General features: G+C 34.1%; 1 protein-coding gene across 9 annotated transcripts in view; it reads left to right on the top strand.

Moving 5' to 3' along the window:
• Nucleotides 1–22,204, top strand: part of SLC13A1 (solute carrier family 13 member 1) — an 86,441-nt gene that overhangs the window by 21,047 nt on the left and 43,190 nt on the right. For all 9 annotated transcript variants that reach the window (XM_047420754.1, NM_022444.4, XM_011516516.4 and 6 more), the window contains 4 exon segments: nt 7,021–7,157; nt 9,590–9,777; nt 10,364–10,421; nt 10,503–10,551. In XM_047420754.1, the coding sequence (XP_047276710.1) occupies nt 7,021–7,157; nt 9,590–9,777; nt 10,364–10,421; nt 10,503–10,551 (432 nt within the window).

The following is a 22,204-nucleotide window of genomic DNA, read 5'->3' as shown; positions in this document are numbered from 1 at the left end:
TATACATTCACAAAAGTGAATAGATCATTCTAGAAACATTCTGAGTGTTGTAAAGGTGAATGAGCCTATCGTCTTCCCTATGGCATTTCAGCCTAAGTTTGTTTTAAACTTTATGTGATTCTCTTCACCTTGTAAGTTTAACTGGAACTTGCAGCAAATCATAGTCCTTAGAACTTTTAGTGGAGAAAACTGTTCTCAGACTTGTGATCCTTTTTGCCGACAGGGTAACTTACCTTTTACTAATAAGTTAGCTGACCAAAGCTACAATCTATTATGAATGAGCTAGAGATTTAGTCATAAGACCTGAGCTTAAAATTTGATATTTATCACTGATTATGATCATGTCCTTTAATAATTCTTATCATCTGTAAGTGGGATGTGATAATGCTACACAACCCATTGTTGTCATGATCAAATTAAATAATGTATGTTAAACAATGATACAAACTAAGTATCAAGCATTCTTACTAGGTTTAATATTCCCAGTTAAAATTTGTTTTGAGAGTTTTAAACTATAATTCCTGCCCACTGCAACATCTTTGAATCTCAGATCTGTCACTGAGTAGGATACCATGTCATTAATGCCCTCATCTAAGTTTAGAGCCCTAAACACCTCTCTCTTTGGCCATCACAGTTATAACTTTACCTGTTTATTAAGCCAATCCTAAATACTGGTATTTTGCTGAGCCCATTACTGTATTTGAAGAATATCAACAAATATTAAACTTTTCTCATATTTGTTGAACTAAACCAGAAATCTAAAGTATTTAGAGTATGTTCAATTTGATATTTCAAAACAAGCATTAATATTATCATCGAAAATATTTAAATATAAATTTCACATATATGAATGTGAAAATACACATGTATGGAGATATATATATATATATAGAGAGAGAGAGAGAGAAAGAGAGAGATATAGGTGTTATGTTATGTATTTACTCAGTTATTCAACAGATATTCATATGGTAGTACCCTGCCAGGGATTTAGGAACATATCAATGAATAAAAACAGGCAAAATATTTCCTGTCTTTCTAGAGGAAAGGAGGCAATGAACACTGTATCTGATAAATAGAAATATTATACAGTATAGTGAGCTAGAAAGGTAATTTTGTGCTATGGAAAAGATGCAACAGGATGATGGGGATCAGAGAGAATGGTAGTTTTAAATAAGATGGTCAGGTTAGACCTCCTTGAGATAGTGATACCTGAAGAAAGACTTACAGGAAATGAAGGAGTTAGCCATTTGAATATTTGGAGCATGACTATTGCAGAAGAGGTAACACCCAGTGCAAAGACCTTATTGCAGGTATATCTGCAGTGTAATTGGAAAAGAGTAACTAAAAAGGAGAATGACAGATTAGGTCAGGTACATAATGTAATGAGGCAATGGACCAGGTAGGGTCAAAGTAGTCCATTGCAAGATTTTAACATTGAATAAAATGGGATCTTTTGAAGAGTTTTGAGCACAAAAGTTAAATGATCAACCTAACTTTGATTTTAAAAAGGATAATTTGGGCTGCTGTGTTGAGAAACAAGACAGAAAGAAAGAGACAGGTAGGAGGTTACTGCAGTAGGTGAGAGACCATGGTAATTCAGACCAGGGGCAGTAGTAGAGATATTGAATGTATTGCTGATAAAATTTGAAGGTAAAATCAGCAAACTTTCCTGATTGATTAGATATGGCATATGGTTGGAAGAAAAGTGTCAAAGATGCCTCACAGCTTATCTGCCAATTGGGAAAATGGAGTTGCTATCAATTGAAATGGGAGGAAGATGGGAAGTGCAGGCTTACTCTAGGAAAGGGGCTGACACTTAGAGTTCAGTGCTGGACAGAAAAGTTTGAAATACCTATTAGACATCTAAGTGAAGATGTTGAGTAGGCAGTTGAATACAAAAGAGTCCAGAGTTCATGAGAGAGAGCTAATCTGCAGATATAAATCTGAGATTCATCAAAATATAGATGGTATTTAAAGCCCTAAGACTTGATGAGATCACTCAGGGAGTGAATGAAGATAGAGAAGCAAAGAGGACAAAGAACTGACCTCTGCATAGCTATAACAGTAAGAGGCAAATGAGAAGAGAAAGCACTAGCCAAAGAGACTAAGAAGAAAAGGTTATTGAGGTAGGAGGAGAACCAGGAGGGTGTGGGATCTTGGAATCCAAGTGAAGCAAATGTTTTGAAGATGAGGCAATGATTATGTGTGTCAAATCTGCTGATAAGTCAGTTAATGTGAAAAGTAGATATTGGCTATTGGATTTAGCTAAACAACCTAATAACTAACAAAGCACCTTTTAAAAAATATTATCTCATTTAATTTGCAAGGTTGGTGTGAGGTAATATTTAATTTTTACAACTATTTATTGATTTGTAGAAAGGTTGCTGAACTGGTAAATTACATAACTAAGAGAGAACTCAGGTGCTCTGATTGCAAAAGCCCATGCTTTTTGATGAAATCCTATTTTGAGACAGAAATATAACTATGTTGATCTTGCAAATAGATATCAAATTTTATTAGAGATGTTATTTGACATATCAATTTTGCCTTGAGAATAGTTATATTTATCAGTGTAATTTACAAACCAACAGCACCTTCTTCTATTACCTCCCTGGACAAGTAGGCCATAAACAAACACATCTGCCTGAGGCTAATGTTTCTTCTCAAATATTCTGACTGATGAAAACCATAGAATAGGTACTACAATGAAAACAGAGAATGTGAAGTTTTTTTCTTAAGTTTAACAACTAATTTTATTTGGACTGCAGGCTGTAGTTTGTTTGCATGGTCTATTGAGAAAACTGGCAAACTGTGGGCCTGAAGGCCAAATCAGCCTGCTGCCTAATTTTTAAAATAAACTTTTTAGTAGGACAAATCCATAGTCATTCATTGACATATTGCCTTTGGCTATTTTGTGCCATGACAGAGTTGAATAATTACAATGAAGACCATATGGCCAAAAAAGTCTAGAATATTTACTGCTTGGCCCTCTACAATATGCTAACTCCTCATATAACCCAAATCAGTAACAGCAAGAATGTCTCATAGTCCTGGACTTCTTTCTGTGTCTAATCACTTACTAATAATGGCTTGCTTCTAAGTGTTTATTTGTATTTTTAAGTAATTCTGCATTTATTCTTTTATTTAATTCTCAGAGTATTGGTAAAATAGGGTATCTTAGCCCATTCAGATTACTACAACAAAATACATTAAGCTGGGTAAATAAACAACAGATATTTATTGCTCACAGTTCTGGAGGCTGTGAAGTCCAAGATCAAGGCACTGGCAGATTGAGTGTATGGTAAGGGCTTGCTGTCTGCTCCATAGATGGCATCTTGCTGCTGCATCCTCACATGATGGAAGGGGCAAGGGAGCTCTCTCAGGCCCCTTTTATAAAAGTACTAATTCCATTCAAGAGGTTGGAGTGAACATATTTGGTTCCTTTTAGGTGCCAACATATGAATTTGGGTGGGGGACACCAACGTTTAGACCACAGCAGTCAATAGGGCTTATTTCCATGAGCCAAACTGCAAAAGAGATAAGGGAAAATGAAAACTTAAATCTTTATTCATTTTTCAATAATAAACTCAAGGATCAGCTCCTGTAAGAAGACTTTCCCAATCCCTCTAGGAAAAAAAATTATCACCCCACTTACTTTTAAAATCTCAATTATATTTTGGAGAGGTATCATTCAAGCATCTATAATACTTTATTGCACTTTTTGTTAACTTGTTTTTTCTCATCTAATAGCTTGTAAGCTCTTTAAGTCTAGGGACTTATTAAATTTAACATCCATTGAGTGCCAGTTTGTGCCAGGCATGTGCTAAGTCCATAAATACAATGATCAATAAGATACATCTTGCCTTCAAGATAAATCTAGTGTAATAAAGGGGATAAATAAGTGAAGAAATTATCAATATATAAATTAAGATGTACTATAAAAAGGGAGATATTATCTAATCCAGTTTAGTGTCCTAGGGAAGATATCTTAGAAGAACTGACATCTTCCATGAAGGAAGACTAGAAGTATCCAAGACAAGCAGAGAGGGTCATTCCAGGTTAAATTGCAAGCAAGTGTTAAAGCACTTCTGTGTTTGGGGAACTAAATACATAGGAAGAAGAAGGGTGGAGTGGCAAAAAACTAAATTGGAGAAGTGAAATGGGACCAGATGATGAAGGGTCTTTTATGACATGTTGAAAATATTGGATTTGGTCTTTAAAACTATGGGAAGTTCTTAAAAACTATACTGAAGAAGTATAAGAAGGACAATTATGTGATCAGATTTACACTGTAGAAAAGGGGCTATGACAATGGTATGGAGTGGATCAGAAAAAGATCGATCATACAGTAGCCAAGTGAGAAATAGTGAGGAACTTAATCAAGGTAGTCATGTGTAAACAGAGAAAAAGGGACAAATTTTAAAGATATGAAGGACCTAGGAATAATAGGACTTATATTGGAAGTGAAAAAGGAATCATGGCTGACCTTTAGGTCTCTGTCTTGGGCAACTGAGTAGATAGATGTTTACATTAACTACAAAGGGAGAATGTGTTTGAAGGATGGGGAGTGAGAAAATGAGAAGTGTCATTGTGGATATGTTGAATTGTAGGTGTTTGTGGGAAATTCAAATGGAAATGAACAGTTGGACATATCAGTCTGAAACTCAGAAGACTTATCTGTGTGGAAATAAAGATCTTGGTGTAGTCTACATTCATTTAACAAAGGTTCATTGAGTGCCCCCATGTATGTGCCAGGCATTATTTTAGTCCCATAAAGTTGAATCTTTCAAATTCAGTCATTGGATGGATAAAACAAGGAGACTATAAAGACTATGGACAGAACCCTGTGGAATACCAGCATTTTGGAGGACCGAGATAACTGGATTTTCAAAGTTAGAAAAAAAAGAAAAATTCACAGGCAGGTATAGAACCAGGGAGAAAAAAAAAAAAAAAACAGCTTCCCGACTCTGGAAGCACTGGCAAATTAATATACTGAAATACTTATACCTAGAGTAAGAGTTGAAAGAGGTGGGAGACTAGGAAGTAGAGGACAGAGTGTAGAAAATTGGGATATAAGAGCTCAGAGACCATAGCTTATTCATTGTCCCTCTCTCCCTCATTCTTTCAATTCTATTTACCAAGCTCTCTACTGTGTACCAGCACTATGCTAGGTGCAAAATACGTGATGGTTAGCAAAATAGAGTCCTGGTTTGGCTAGCAAAACAGATTCCTGGTCCTCATCAGAATGTATGGTATAATAGAGAAAACAATAAGCACGTAAACAAACAGTATTTACGTAATGTATATACTACGAAAAAACCAAACACGGCTCTATGATACAGAAAAATATAGGACCTATTTAGAAAGGCCTGATATTTGAGAATTGAAGAGGTGCAAAGAGGGAAAAATTTATCAAGCATTTATTAATATATACTCTGCTCCTATAATATTTTTGGTGCATATGGATAATTTTTCAATGAGTAATAAATGAAATAGCAAGGAAATTGATATAATTATTTTCTATTATCCAATCACTACAAAATGTAAAGAGATAGATATAAACTTTGAAAGACATCATAAATGAACATTTTATAAAATATAAAAGTTGTCCACTTGCCTACTTTTAATTTCAAGGGTAATTATCAATTTTTGCTTTTTATCGAAACGAAGCCAAGCTTAGCAAATTATGTTAAAAATGCAGATATAATTTAATATAGCAAAATTATCATAAGAATTGATTTTCCTTTTTGTGGTTTTGTAACATTAGAATGGTTTTATTCCAACATTCCCATTCCTTCTATTAGCTATTGTTTGATTTTTTTAGAGGGGCATTTACTCTTATAATCCTCTTTCAGCACAGCCTTGTGTTTCAGTTTAGCCAAGTGCTTCTTAAAGTAAGTTATCTTGAATACCACTCTCATGAAGTGCTCCACCTAAAAATTAAATAAAAATAAGTTTTTAATAATTAAGTAAATCTGAAAAATATGTAGTATATGATATCCCCCTCTTTAAAAATGACATTATACACTATTGTTTAAAGGTTTTTGCAAAGGCCTATAGGAGAGAAAGTTCTAGTATGTCAAAATTCTGTTTTCTCAACCTAATCAATTACACAACCCTTTTAAAAAAAAAGATTATGTACCTAAATGTATTTCAAAGTATTCTTTAAGAAATACTGCTGCAAATGGTTGCTTAAAGTTCTAGGTCCTTTACTAATCTCTGAATGGTGTTGACTGAAAATTGCTTAAAATATTAAGTCTCATTTGAGGGTATTTGTTTTACAATTTTATTATTATTATTTTTTAAGATGAAGTCTCACTCTGTCGCCCAGGCTAGAGTGCAATGGCACGATCTCGGCTCACTGCAACTCCGCCTCCTGGGTTCAAGCAATTCTTCTGTCTCAGCCTCCAGAGTAGCTGGGATTGCAGTCATGCACCATTACACCTGGCTAGTATTTTGTATTTTTGGTAGAGATAGGGTTTCACTATGTTGGCCAGGATGGCCTCGAACTCCTGACCTCAAGTGATCCACCTGCTTTGGCCTCCCAAAATGCTGGGATTACAGGTATCAGCCACCATGCCTGGCCTTATAAAAAGTAATTTTGAAAGTAAAATCATTCAATATATAAAGGTGTGACTGCAGTTACAGCATAATGGGTCATGATGAAGACAGTAGTAAGTTGGAGCTTGATTGAAAACGTTCCCAAATCACAGTCATTGCCATTCCACTATAGATGCATAAACAAATTAGCCCCAATAGAAAAGCACTTACCTGATGTTACTCAGCTATTTAATAACCCTGAGTACTCTTTTTTCGGTATACTTTTCCTTAACACCATTTTTGAGTAAGAATATAGAACATGTCTAAATTTGTATTCAAACACATCTACATTTTTCTCAACAAAATGGAAAGATTATGCGGTTGAAGGTCAAAATTAAGAGCAGCATAATAATGTCTTTCTTGTGCAATGTTATTTTTCCCCACCAAAGTAAATAATCACGGGTTTAATTGTTATTTCAGGTGGCATCTGCTTATTTCAAGGATTTTCACTTACTGCTAATTGGAGTTATCTGTTTAGCAACATCCATAGAAAAATGGAATTTGCACAAGAGAATTGCTCTGAAAATGGTGATGATGGTTGGTGTAAATCCTGCATGGTAAGTACTGCATTTACTGCTTCCAGTTTACCTGCTGAACAGACCATTTTTGTGCAGAGCAAATAATCAAATAAGTAATTCACGCCCAGGAAATTCTTTGTATCACAGTCTGACTTATGACGTTTTTTCCTCTGCAAATATGAAAGTGATATAAAGTGTACTTGAGTTGTAGGAGGAAAAAAAAACAACTTTCACTGCAGGTCTGATTACAGGGTGCTTGGAATACGTGCACACAACTTTCTCACCTTTTATGCATCATAGAAGTCAAAGCTGAGAGAAGCTTTGAACCTCAACAGACAAGATTGATAGACTTCAGAGTAGATTTTCCTCCGATCTTGTTTATTTGGCTGATTACACATTCAGAACTTGTTCAAGAGCATCCTTTATCATCAGGGAGGATGTTACAAACCAAAGACAAAGACATTACTGACAAAATACAAATGTGTGCAGAAAAATTCCAAGGTGAATATTTTTCTTTTTAAACCAACTGTTGCAAAGTGAAAAAATCAATTAAGACATTTCATCTACAGAGTATGAAATCACTCATTTGACTGATAAAATTAATTGGCTATTTCGGTTTTATTTCACTTCTTGCTAAGAACATGAATGTAAGCTAAAGAAAATTTCCAGTGTCATAATCATTTGCATAGTGGCATTTTGCGTTAAAGCCTTAGATGTTTCTTCCCTTCTCATCTTTCTTTGAAAATTAGAATATTGTATTGACTTATATTGCATAATTCATTCTAGGGCGTAGACACATCTGTGTTTTTCATTTATGGTGCAAATTGTTTTGCTAAATACAAAAAAAAAATGACTCAGACGAGACAAATTTTCAATTTTTTTTTTACTTAAAAATTGTATAACACATATGTGTTTAAGACATTATCTCGGCCGGGCACGGTGGCTCATCCCTGTAGTCCCAGCACTTTAGGAGGCCAAGGTGGGCGATCGCCTGAGGTGGGGAGTTCAAGTTTAGCCGGGTATGGTGACAGGCACCTGTAATCCCAGCTACTCGGGAAGCTGAGGCAGGAGAATTGCTTGAATCTGGGAGGCAGAGGTCGCAGTAAGCCAAGATCACGCCATTGCACTCCAGCCTGGGCAACAGAGTGAGACTCTGTCTCAAAACAAACAAACAAACAAACAAAAAAAACCAAAACGACGTCATCTGACTCTTAAAATGAAGTGGGGCTCCATGCCTTTTAGGGTGCTACAGAAATGTATCTCTTTTTCCTGACCCTCTGCTCACTGTTCCAGAGGATGATGTAATGCACTTCACAGTGGGGCAGAAGTTCTGTCCATTATGCCACTAAGTGGCTCTTCAATTTAAGGCATTTTCACCATCCAGAAGCTTTATCTGATCCTGGCATTTTTTATACAAAGATTTCTTGTTTTGACAATGCCTTAAGAAGTTAAAAGTTCTTAATTTTCTTTTTTTTAGAAGAACCATTTATTGCGTAAGCAGATTCCTAATATATTTTCTTTTATTTTGTTGTATACATTGAAAATATTCACCTTATCTGAGTCTGAAACTTACAGTGTGGTATTGTTCTTGTACATCTGTTTTAAAAGGGTGTCAGATTATTTCATAAATTGCTCTATATAGAAAGGTGTGCTTCTGAATGATTTTCTAGGCCCGCCTACTCAAAAGAGATCATTTTTTTCCCCAAGTGTGACTTTGAAAGTTTATAGATATGGCTTAAAATTTTGTAGTCTTAGGTATATTATTTTTAAGGAGAATAACTAATAACTACTCTATTTATAAAAGAAGACAATGTAGTGTGTCCAGATCTTGACAATAGGAAAGGATATCAGATTCAGGGGAGCATAAATCAGAATATTCAGAAAATTCAGAAACCTCATTTTAGCAAATGACTTTAACTATTTTCTCCACCCACCTTATACTGAACTAGTATAGTGAACAAGTAAAAAGAGGCTTTATAAATATTAATCTTTCTTTGTCCTTGTACCTCCTTGACACCCCTATGAACAGAGTTATGGCTAAAAGATAAAAGAAAAAATAAGGGACCTTAAATTCAAAAGTTGATTGCAGTTTCGTCTTAATAGCATTTGAAGATAAGTGGTCAGCTGTGAAGAGCATTCAGATATTGGTGTAATATTATAAGCTGTTATGTCATATAACCAACTTGCAGTTCGTTTAGTTTTAATCATTTTTCTGTTTCTGAAGAGAAAATTTGCATGGTTCCCTGGGAGACAAATCTCTTAAGAACTCCACTTTTACATATATGGCTTTGATTTCTACCTGGCTGTCACGGTACTCCAATTTCATCATCTGGGCAGAATCTTAACCTTCCATGTTTTGAAAGACTTAATTTCCCAACTCACAAAACACATCTTAAACATCTTCCAGTTAAATAATACGGTGCTAGTTAAGCTAAGAGCACAGCTCCACAATAATGGCTCTCTGGTTTCAGGCTGACGCTGGGGTTCATGAGCAGCACTGCCTTTTTGTCTATGTGGCTCAGCAACACCTCGACGGCTGCCATGGTGATGCCCATTGCGGAGGCTGTAGTGCAGCAGATCATCAATGCAGAAGCAGAGGTCGAGGCCACTCAGATGACTTACTTCAACGGATCAACCAACCACGGACTAGAAATTGATGGTATCACATGTTGATATGGCCAATCTGGGGTCTAGTCATTAGAGCAATAGACATAAACTCAAGAATTCTAAGTTGTATTTTGAATTAACCATCTATACATGCATGATATGAATTTAACTTTCTTCCCTCTATAGTTCTCAGTATCTACAAAAATAGTTTTCTACAAATATTTTACCTAAATTGTTACATTTCTATTTGCTTGCAAAAAGAAGAATGCCTTTTCTATCCCTCAGCCAGACTGATGGAACACTCTCTCATGTCTTTATCAGTAGACCTCCAGGTTACTCTTTCCTATACTGAAATGGCTTTCCTGCATAATATTGGGAATCTTTAATTCCTACATTCTATTTGGATACAGCATCAAATTTCACTGTTATTATTTCTGGCTCTGACTAACTGCTCTGATGCAGTGAAAAAGTGTTGGGAGGATATTTGTATTTATAAAATAAGATGACTGTTATGTTAGTACACAGTGAATTTTTTATTTTCAATTTCTACTAATGCTTCCATCTTCGCATCCACACACAGGCAAACCCAATGATAATCCCTTATTTAAATTGTTTTTCTTTTATTTAATGTTTTGCAGAAAGTGTTAATGGACATGAAATAAATGAGAGGAAAGAGAAAACAAAACCAGTTCCAGGGTAAGGAATACTGACATTTTGATTGGGATTTTTCCAAATTATATTTTAATAAAATTATAACTGGATCAATGTATTTTTCAGATACAATAATGATACAGGGAAAATTTCAAGCAAGGTGGAGTTGGAAAAGGTACATAAATTTGATTCTTTCTAAATAATTATATACAAAATTATATTAGAGCTGTAGTTAGATACATATGCATTTTAAAACCTGCCACTTGCTTCCTTTTCTATAAATTATTTTGCTTGACTAAGCAGTAGCATGGTGTAATGGTTTGATAAACTTTCATGAACAGACAGAAATCAACATCTGGATAGGAACCATTTTAGGCTCTGAAAATTAGTATCATTATTTTCTCTTTTTACCAGAATCAGGATAATGGCAGTTAGCCAAGGTAGTTTAAAGAAATATAATTCCAGTCTCAGAATATTGCTTCATTTTCTTTTTTTAACTTTTATTTTAGTTTCAGGGGTACATGTGCAGGTTTGTAGTACAGGTGAATTGCATGTTTTGGGGGTTTGATATATAGATTATTTCCTTACCCGGGTAATAAGCATAGTACCTGATAGGTAGGTTTTTTTCATCCTTCTCTTATTAAAATCTTGCTGGCCTAATAGACTGATTTTCATTAGGGGCATCGTCGTCATTTCTTCCAGGTTATGAACTTGGAGCAACTCCTATTCATGTAATTACAACTCGTTATCTTTAGTGCTTCCATTGCCACTAAAAAAAATCAATGCAGAATTCATGAGTTGCTTCTGTCAAATACAGGTGGAGGAGTTGTAGCCATTCTAGATATTAAAAGAGGGAAGGAGATCTCTGTAAACTATCCCATAGAATTCATTTCCCCAGAATAAATCAATATAAAAATACTATACTAGATTGCACTGGGAGCAATATATCTCAAGACCTGAAAAATAAATCCCACATAGAAATACTCCTATAGTAACTATGGCATTAGGAATAGGAAAGTGGGACATATATTTCTTCATCTGGCCATGGAATGCATTAACAGGCAGTTCAATAGGAAAAAGAAAACCCTCTTGTTAATTACAGAAATCTTCTAGGAAAGAGCAATTTCTATGTAAAGAGAAAATGAATACAAAGATAAGTTTTAAGCCATTAGCTACAGAATATATTAAGGATTTTTTAAGATGGGAATTGCATATATATTTATGAAGATATTATCTTTAGAGATAGAAATAATTCCTATAAAACATGAAAAATTAACAGTATGCCAGGTATGTTATAGAATAATACATTAGAAATGGGCTTTATGTGCCTGATTTATAATCCTTTGGGTATATACCCAGTAATGGGATGGCTAGGTCAAATAGTATTTCTAGTTCTAGATCCCTGAGGAATCGCCACACTGACTTCCACAATGGTTGAGCTAGTTTACAGTCCCACCAACAGTGTAAAAGTGTTCCTAATTCTCCACATCCTCTCCAGCACCTGTTGTTTCCTGACTTTTTAATGATCGCCATTCTAACTGGTGTGAGATGGTATCTCATTGTGGTTTTGATTTGCATTTCTCTGATGGCCAGTGATGATGAGCATTTTTTCATGTGCCTTTTGGATGCAGAAATGTCTTCTTTTGAGAAGTGTCTGTTCATATCCTTCGCCCACTTTTTGATGGGGATGCACACGTATGTTTATTGCGGCACTATTCACAATAGCAAAGACTTGGAACCAAGCCAAATGTCCAACAGTGATAGACTGGATTAAGAAAATGTGGCACATGTACACCATGGAATACTATGCAGCCATAAAAAATGAGTTCATGTCCTTTGTAGGGACATGGATGAAGCTGGAAACCATCATTCTCAGCAAACTATCGCAAGGACAAAAAACCAAACACCACATGTTCTCACTCATAGATGGGAATTGAACAATGAGAACACATGGGCACAGGAAGGGGAACGTCACACACTGGGGCCTGTTGTGTGGTGGGGGAAGGGGGGACGGATAGCATTAGGAGATATACCTAATGTTAAATGACAAGTTACTGGGTTCAGCACACCAACATGGCACATGTATACATATGTAACTAACCTGCACATTGTACACATGTACCCTAAAACTTAAAGTATAATAAAAAAAAATAAAGAAATGGGCTTTAAAAGCTGTTATGAAAATTGGCACACCTAAACAGAAAGAATATACATGCATTCAGTAAATTTCTTGTGGTCATCTTTGGAAACCTAGTTTTCTATCATAAGGCCTAAAGTTTCAGTCAAAACCATTCAAATTGATTTGATATCCAAATACTGTCCCAGGCATTGTAGGCAGGTCTTTTGATGAAAAGACCTGCTCCTTATTGTAAGCAGCTCAGAGTCTAGTGGACAAGACGGACTTATAAAAATATGTCTGACATAAATACCACAACAAAGGCATGCACAGATGCCAACACTTCTAGAAGCAGGAGCAACTAGTTTGATCTGGGAGTACTGCAGCGAGGAAGTATAATGTAAAGACATTTGAGTCTGGAAAGACGAGAGCATGTGCAAGCAGAAGAGTGCGAACTCATGAGTGCAAGAATGTGTCTACCTTGTCAGCACTTTAAACTCTGGCACATTCCCATTGCCTGACACAAAGGATGTATTCGATAAGTAGTTATCTTTATCAATTAATGAATGAGTGAAAGCAAAAGAGTAAAAAGAGGAAGACACTTTCTAATCAGAGAGTACAACTAATTCAAAGAACCAGCTAAGTAAAGAATGTTTTTTTTTCAGGAAACCTCTACAATGCAGATGCTAGAGATGAGCTGTTGTGGGGAATAAAATTATTGTATGGGTTTGTCCAGGTTATAAATATCTCTTCATCCAATGCAAAGGAGTTTAGAGTTGATTTTATGGAAAACGCAAAGCCTTAAAACTGCGGGGCAATATGATAAGTTCTGCCTTTGGGACAACCTGAAAGTCAGTGGTGAGCTTTTTGATTAACTGAGCAACTGAGCTTTTTTATTAATTAGACATTGGGGACGAGGGAAAAAAATGTAGGAGATGCCTCCACTGCTCTAAACTAGGGAGCGGTAGATTGTGATGCCATTGATTAGAATGCAGAACTCAGAGGTAAGAATAACCTTTCAATAGAGAAAAGATAACGGAGATGCATTTTTGGCAATAAAGATTAATATCTGAGTTTAGGAAAGGAAAGCGAGGCTTTTGAATGTTGATTCTATGGTCTTTCCAGAATGCAATGCACAAAAATTTAGCTTTATATAAAAACAGGAATAGTTTTTTGCTGCACTAAAGTATTCTTTATAAGACATGCATGAAAGCATTATTTTATATATTATACATTTATGATATGTTTTGATTTTTAACAATTATAGGTATATTTTCAGGAATAAATGTATATATAATTTGTGTTACAATTATAATAAACTGCAGCTGTTCTTTGATAGATTTACCCTATATAATTTAACACTGATTATATGGAAGAATGTATATCTACTTCATCTAGCTATAAAATATTTATATTCATAATCTTTTGATCTTATGCTTTCTTCTTGAAGTAGGTAGGATATTCTATTGAATTAAAATAAATCCTGTGGGGTTTGACTTTGAATTTGACCTACAAGTCAAAAAAAAAATACAAATATTACTCTTTTTTTGGGGAGAGTGGTATAAATTAAATTTCAGAGAAGATAAATTTCCTTCAGTTCAGCTCTGATTTTGATTATTTCTTGTCTTTTGCTGGCTTTGGGATTGTTCTTGCTTCTCTAATTTTTTTCAGTTGTGATGTTAGGTTGTTAATTTGAGGTCTTTCTAACTTTTTGATATGGGCATTTAGTGTTATGAATTTCCCTCAACACAGCCTAACACTCATGACATGAGTTTACCTATATAACAAACTTGCACATGCACCCCCAAAACCTAAAATGAAAATGAAAAAAAGGAAGAGAAATAAAATAAAAGGCTTAGCTTTTTTTTTGGTAATCTGCACAATTTTGCTATGTTCCTGCAATAAAATAAATAAATTTTATTTCTAATGAAATTATTACAATTTGATTCATTTGAAGCACCATTTATTTAGTACAAAACTAAAGATTTTAAAAATTTAATTAAAATCTCTTTACTAATATAATTAAATTAATCTAAGCTGATCAATAAGCTTACTTCAATTTTTAGAACTATAATATTTCTCCCCAAAGGCAATAACATACACTGATCCATATAAAGTTTAGTGTGTAGTAAGTAGAAAATTCTCAATAAGTAGAAAAAAATAATAATGGCCCCCAAATAAATTCTGTATTTAGCAGACAGTAATATTAGTTAAGAAATATACATTTAACATTTGCTCAATGTCACCTTTTCAACAAGACCTACCCTAATCTCCCTATTTCACTGCAGCCACCATATCCCATATCCTTCCTCCTAATCCTCCTGACTCTACCCTACTTTATCCAAAAGCATGTATCACCTTCTTACAGACTATATAATTTGCTTAATTTTTATTTATTTTGTTCATTGTCTTCTTTCTCCACTAAAATGCAAGGTTCATGGGGCAGAGATTTTTGTCCATCTAGTACATATCACAAATATCTTGAATAGTGACTGCTGTAAATAGTAAATATTTGCTTATTGAATAAATAAATTCAGTAATATTTTTATCAAATGATTACAATTACAGTAAAATAACTCATGTTGTATATAAACTACACTAAGTTTCCAGTGTCTAGTTAACCATCAGGGAAAATTCAGAGAAGTCACTATGGACAACAGAACCATTAAATACTATTATTTTTGGCTGCTTTAAAAAAATAAACTACACCAAGCAAAGAATCAAACTGATAAACATTTAAAGTCAACACTATGGATCAGACTGGTTTCATTTTGGGTAGAAAGACAAAAAAATGTTTTGTAACTAAAATTTATCAGCTCTAAAATTCTTGTTAATAGAACTGCAAAATTCTCATACAGATAATAACGATGATCATTTTGCTGGCGTGATAAAGACTAGATGTTAGTGTTGAAGATGATGGATATTTAGTAGTCCAGGACCTTATTTTAAAGTATTCACATCGAAGAGTCACTTTCCTATGCTGCATATCTAAAAAAGAGATTTGTCCCATGACTTAACTTTTATGAAGTTCTCTTCTCACTATAGGCCATGGCCCAAATACTAACTGAGCTCTCTACTTGCCCAAAATAAAGTGGTGAATAGTTACCAAGCCCATAAATCCCACATTACCCCCTAAAAGTAGCTGAAATATTTGTAGACAAGAAAAGATACTGGGAGAAGAAAGGAATATCCTAAAATTACACTGACAGTACCTGAGGAAATATATTTGTCAGGTTCCATTGGGGTACCTGGTAAACCAACCACCATGCATACAATTTCCATGGGAAATGAGTTCTAGGTATCCGAAAATCCATTTGTAGATACCAAAGAAGGAATAAAGTTGCTAGTTCTTTCCCTCCCCTGCAAGCATTAATGTCACTCAAAGAGACAGCCCAGAGTTTTACATCAGCTCAATTTCTAAACCTTCAGGCATCTACAAATGAAAGAGATTGGAAAATCAGTATACTTTTAATGAAAAATCTGAGATAATTGTTTTTCATTAGTTTAATATAAGTTGTAATTCCTCAAAGGGAAAAGTTCAAAGTAAAAATATCCTTGAATAAATTACATCTTGCTTTTAATTAGGTATTGTTTAGTTTAGGGGTGAAAATCCTTATGGTTGAAATCCAATTGTACAAGACAACACTTTTTAATGTTCTCCAAAAATTCAAAGGAGTCTTGTAAGTACAGTAATAAACATGGTTCATAATATTAGAAACTAGGGGTATTAGTTCTGCCAAATAAGGAGATATTAATTCTGGAATATCTGGCTCCTAGATCAGATATGAAAAAGGTATTTTAGCTTAGATCACGTAACAAACAAAAGCTGGCTCTCCTTCATTATTCTTCTATTTTCCTAAACTGGGAGAAGTTGGATGGCAAAGGCAGTAATTAGTACTGCTCAACCCTTACCTGACTCAACCTAGGGTTTCCTTTTATTCATGCAGTGGTTTATAGAGAATGTTTATAGACGAGGTAAGCAAGGAGAGAGAGGGAGAATACCATACACCCTTTAGGAATCACAGCAACAATCTGTGAACGTGACCTCACTCCAGATTTCAACCTTTATTAGAGTCAAAGTGCTATCTCCATTGATGGCCATTCTTAGTTGTGGTCTCACAAAACATTTTTCTATTAAAGAAACTATTGACTTTTGACAATATCATTTCTCCCATATATCTTTATTTTATGAAATACAAAAATCTAGTTCTTCACATTTTATGTTATTGAAATATTATCTAGCAAATAGCATAAGCTCAGCCATATTAGTGATATCTGTACTTTAACTGTACAATAAGCCCCCCACACTACATAGCTTATTTGAATACTATATTTTATTTCTTGAAATACTCAACAGTGTTCTCCTATGCATCTTCTAGTGGTATTTTCTAAAAAAAAAAAAAAAAGAAATATGTTTGTCTCCAAATTGATTTTTCTGTATTTTGATTAAGAAATATTTCATGCATATATGCCTGTATAAAACGTGACTAAATATTTTGAAGAATAACAAAATAAGATAATGTATACCACATCCCAGCTTAATAACTAGAACATAATGATTTCTAAAATCTACACGAGCCTATCTCTTTTCCTTACAGAATCACCCCCAACCCCTTGCCAAGTTAGCTATAGTCCAAATTTTGTGTTAATCATTCTCTTGTTTTCTTTTGTTTTATCACTTGCACTAGTTAAGGTATGGATTGGTCGCCACAGCAAAGACCAAATATAGCAACAATTTCAACAAGATAGAAATAGGCTGGTATAGTGGCTCCTTCATCACCATGCCCCTGACTCTTTCTATCTCTTCTCTGCCATTTCCAGCACTGGAAACTTGCAGTTCAAGATGGCTCCCCATCTCCCTCTGTCCATTCTGTATCGCAGCTAGCTGCTCAAGGAAAGGAGAAAGTGGAAGGCATATGTACTTAGAAATTATTCTATTACTTTCCTGGATTTAAGAGTATTCAGATTTTCTATTTCAACATCAAACAATTGCATTTTTAAAAAGAAATTTATGTGTTCCATGTCAAATTTAGTAGTGTGTGGTTGTTTATAATATTTTCTTATATCTACTTAATTTCTATAGTATTTATAGTTATATGTCTTTATTTCTAACATTTTTCTTGTGCTTTTAAAGATTATTTAAAGATTATTTTTAAATAATCTTTATTTCATTTAAATAAAATATTTTATTTAAGTCTTTTTTAATGTAAATCTTTATTTATCTTATTTTATTTAAATCTGTATTTTAAAGATTATTTTTCAAATAATCTTTCCAAACTATGTCTATTTTATTAGTCTTACAAGTCTTGTCAAAGAACCAACTTCTGACTCCTTTCACCCTCTCTATTTAATGTATATTTCATATTATTTTTAATAGTTTTCTTTATTACTTTGTTCTGTCTACTTTGTTGGTGTATTTATGCTCTTGCTCTTTTACTAATTTTTAAAATCTGACCTTTACCTTATTAGTTTTGAGTTTTTCCTCTCTTCCAAAGTAAGGATTTAAGGATATGAATTTGCTTCTATTACTTTAGCTATTTTCCATATTTTTCAGTTTTGTGTTTTCTGATTTCCATTATACTAGATTTTTTTCACTCAAAAGATGCTTAGAAATGTGTTTTGAAATTTAAAATAAATTAGATTTTTAGCTACTTTTAAATTTTTTCTAACAATTTTTCTGCGGTCAGAAACTGTGGTCTATATAACAGTTCTCTAAAACTTGTTAAAGCAGCTTTTCGGACTAGCACATAGTCAGCTATAATAAATATTTTTCATTGTGCTTAAAACAAATTGTACATTTTTAACTAATTAGGTTCGATGTTTTCCAAAACTCTGTAAGATCAAGTTACTAGTTGTGCTTCTCAAATCTCTGTGCTCTGACCAAGTTTTGTCTCTTTTTATTCAGCAACTGATGAGACTGTTTTGTTAAACTCTCCTTCTATCATGCAGGTATTCTATTTCTTCTGATACTTCTGTCCATTTTGGTTCCTCTGCATTGTTAAATTATGTTATTCTGAACCCATTTAGAATGTTTCTGTGTGTGTGATTGATTAACCTTTTATCATTTTGCTGTGCACCTCTTCATCTATCTTAATTTTTTTGGTCTTTGAGTTTATTTGTCTGCTGATAATACAGGACGACCAGCTTTTTTTTTTTTTTTTTGAGACTGAGTCTCACTCTGCCACCTAGGCTAGAGTGCAGTGACACGATCTCAGCTCACTGCAACCTCCGCCTCCTGGGTTCAAGCGATTCTCCTGCCTCAGCCTCCTGAGTAGCTGGGATTACAGGTGCCCAGCTAATTTTTTGTATTTTTAGTAAAGAAGGGATGTCACTATGTTGGCCAGGCTAGTCTCGAACTCCTGACCTCATAATTCGCCCACCTCGGCCTCCCAAAGTGCTGGGATTACAGGCATGACACTACCAGCTTTTATAAGGCTAGTATTTACCTGGCATTTCCTCTATCCTTTCACTTTCAACACTTTATGACACTACCAGCTTTTATAAAGCTGGTATTTACCTGGCATTTCCTCTATCCTTTCACTTTCAATATTTCTGTGTCCTTATATTTTAGGTGTATCTCTTTTATTATGTTTGAAAAGTTTTACCTCTACCCGACATGTTTTATCCATTTAAATTATTTGTGACATTATATATTTAGAATAATTTCTACTGCCAGCTTTTTATTTTTTCCAAATATTCTTTCCATCTTTTCTTCCTGCGTTCCTATGCAGTTATTTTCTTTTATTTCACGCTACACACACACTTGTATGGGTGGTCTATTCTATACTTTGTGTCTATTTTAATTGTCCAATCATTTTCTATATTGTTAGACAGCAAGGATTGCCATAACAAAATAGTACAGAACTGTGTCTTAAACAATACAAATCTGTTATATTTTCTCCCAGTTTTGGAGGCTAGCCAAGTACAAGATCAAGGTGTTATCTGGGTCGGTTTCTAGTGAGACCTCTCTTTCTGGCTTGTACAAGGCTACCTTCTCATTGCATCCTCACGTGATGTTTTCTCTGTGCACATGCAGTAGAAAGAGGGATTTCTGGTCCCTTTTGCTCTTTTTACAAGGACATCAGCCCTATCGGATTAGGCATCCTTCTTTGTTTAAACTTAATTACCTCTGTAAAGGCCCTTTTCCACACAGAGTCACTTTGAGTGTTAGAGCTTCAACATACGAATATTGAGAGACATAATTCAGTCATTAATATCATGTCTACTTAATATATAAACATTTAAAGATAATCCATTTTTTTTTCTCCTGAACAGTATAAAGAGCCTAGGATATTTTAACTTAGACCATCGCTTTCTATTTACATGCCATTTTCCAATTTTTTAGTTCTAGTCTATTATTCCTCCATAAATTACATAATTGTATTATTTTTTAAAATCAGTGCTCTGTAGAGTTATGTTCATATTTATTAATATCTTTGTTCACCATTGTATTTTGCTTCTCAGACCCCCTATCTGGGGTCATGGTCCTTCTTCTTGAATATATCTTTTGAATGTATTTCAGAGAGTGATTTTGGTGTTAAATTCACAGTTTTTGTTTGATAGATTTCTATAATTCTTGAAACATGTTTTTATAGTTATAGTGTGCTAGATAGGTTATTATTTTTTATTTTGCACATTGAAATATATTTATATATTTCTACTGCCTTTTGGCTTTCTTTTTTTCTATTTAAAAGTCAGCTAGCTATCAGTCAAATTATTATTCCTTTGTAGGCAATCTTTTCTCTTTGGTTGCTTTAATGATGTGTGTGTATATGTGTGTGTGTGTGTGATAGAATTTTACTTTGCTATGCCTAAGTGCATATTTCTCCTGAATCTGTGTATTGATCTTTCCCAACAATTCTTGCAAATTATCAGGTGTTATTTCTCAATATTCAATTGCCTCATCCTAGTTCTCTGTATTCTCTCCCTCTGAGTCTCCAATTAAACATTCTGCACTTTCTCACTGTGGTTTCTAAGCTATTTAACATCTATTTTTATGAGTAGTAACTTCTGATTTATATTCCAGCTAGTTAATTTTCTCTTTAGCTATGTCTATTTTGACCTATTTACTGAGCTTTTAAATTGTTATTTAAATTTAATTTATGTAAACTCTATTTGTCTTAAGATTTGCCTGTAACTTTTATAATCTTTTTCATATTTTCAATTGCTTCTCTAATTTTATTAATCATATGTAAATGTAATTATATTTTGTGTCTGTGTCCAACACCTCTGAGGTCCTTGTGGGTCTCTTTCTTTGATTTAGTTTTTATTTATTTATTGCTGGTTCTCATTTTGTTGAATTATTTTCTTGCATGTTCAGTACTTTTAAACATTGAAATTTTTTTTTAGTTACTATGGAAATTCTTTAAGTCCTATGTTGCAGCTTCTTGTAAGAGTTTTCAATTATATTGCTATTTCTCTTTAACACACACATAACATAAATTAGTGCTTTAAGAAAAAATGCTCATGGTTAGGAATTTTTAGGGGATATTGTTTTCCCTTAATTCAGCATGATATTTTCTTTCTGCTTCTGCAAAGGATACCAGCTTTATGTGTATTTTCTTGTATGATTCCCCACACACATTTGGCCTGGAGCAATATCTTTTATACCAAGCTCTCCTTGCAACATGATACACTGAAATCTGAAATCCTATTTTAAATCCAGCTTTAAAATGATTGTTGCACTTTAAAAGATTGTTTTTAATATTTTAAATAGCATCTCATTTAGCATGGGAATCTGATTTGTCATGCTGCTGGATAGAAAAATATGCTATGTTATTATATTTTGTTTCAGTCATTTTTACAACTAGAAAGAGCAAGGTTTTTCTCAGTGGCACACACACACAAACACACATACACATATGCTTTTTCCTAAGAAAGTATAAGGGAAGCTTCTAAATAGTTAACATTTAGGGCAATAAAATTTTTTAAGTAAATATTGGATTTAATCATGACTTTTAACATTTCTGAAAAATAGAGTTTATTTATAAAGAGGCCTCATGTCCTTAATGCTACATTTTAAACATCTCTTTATTCATCACACACAATAAATGTTTATTACTTTATAAACATATCCAAATTCACAATATGTAATAGTTCTTTATTAACTACGGTGGATAAAAATTCTATTTCAGAGTCTTACCGATAACTTCAATTTTACTACCAACTCCTCTGAATTCTTCAGGTTATTACTGATTATATTTTCACTAGATCTTCATGAAGAGTTCATACTAGCTGTAAGGAGAAGATCCTCTCCTACAATTTCTTGCTATTCACTTATCTAGTACTTTCATTCAATAATTTCTTTACAGAAGGATGTGGGGAGAGTTTAGGTATCCCTTGTAAGAAAGCAGAAACACAGGAAAACGTTGCAGAGTGATACTGAGGCCCATCTGAGGTCAGAGGTTGTGGATTTCTCACAGCACCAGCGAGCTTAGCCAAGGGATTTTCTCCAGTGGCATCCAAGAGAGCATAGAAATTGATTTTCATATTAAGCTGAAGTTCAGGGTCCATAAAGATGGGAACAGCAAAATGATAAGCCTGCTGGGATGTTGAAGGCACAGCAGGAGAGTTGTCAGTGATTCATCTGAAGGGATAGGTTTGCCCTGGTAAAGAATGAGGCCTTGAGAAGGTCTAGAAGGACTTGAGCTCCTGATAGGGCCAAAGAGAAGGCATGGAGAAGAAAAAGGATGGGAAAACTAAAGGGATCAAC

This window comes from Homo sapiens, chromosome 7 (genome assembly GCF_000001405.40).
Source record: "Homo sapiens chromosome 7, GRCh38.p14 Primary Assembly".
NCBI classification, from domain to species: Eukaryota; Metazoa; Chordata; class Mammalia; order Primates; family Hominidae; genus Homo; species Homo sapiens.
The sequence above is the reverse complement of the archived record's forward strand: the minus strand, read 5'-3'. Positions and strand labels throughout refer to the sequence as shown.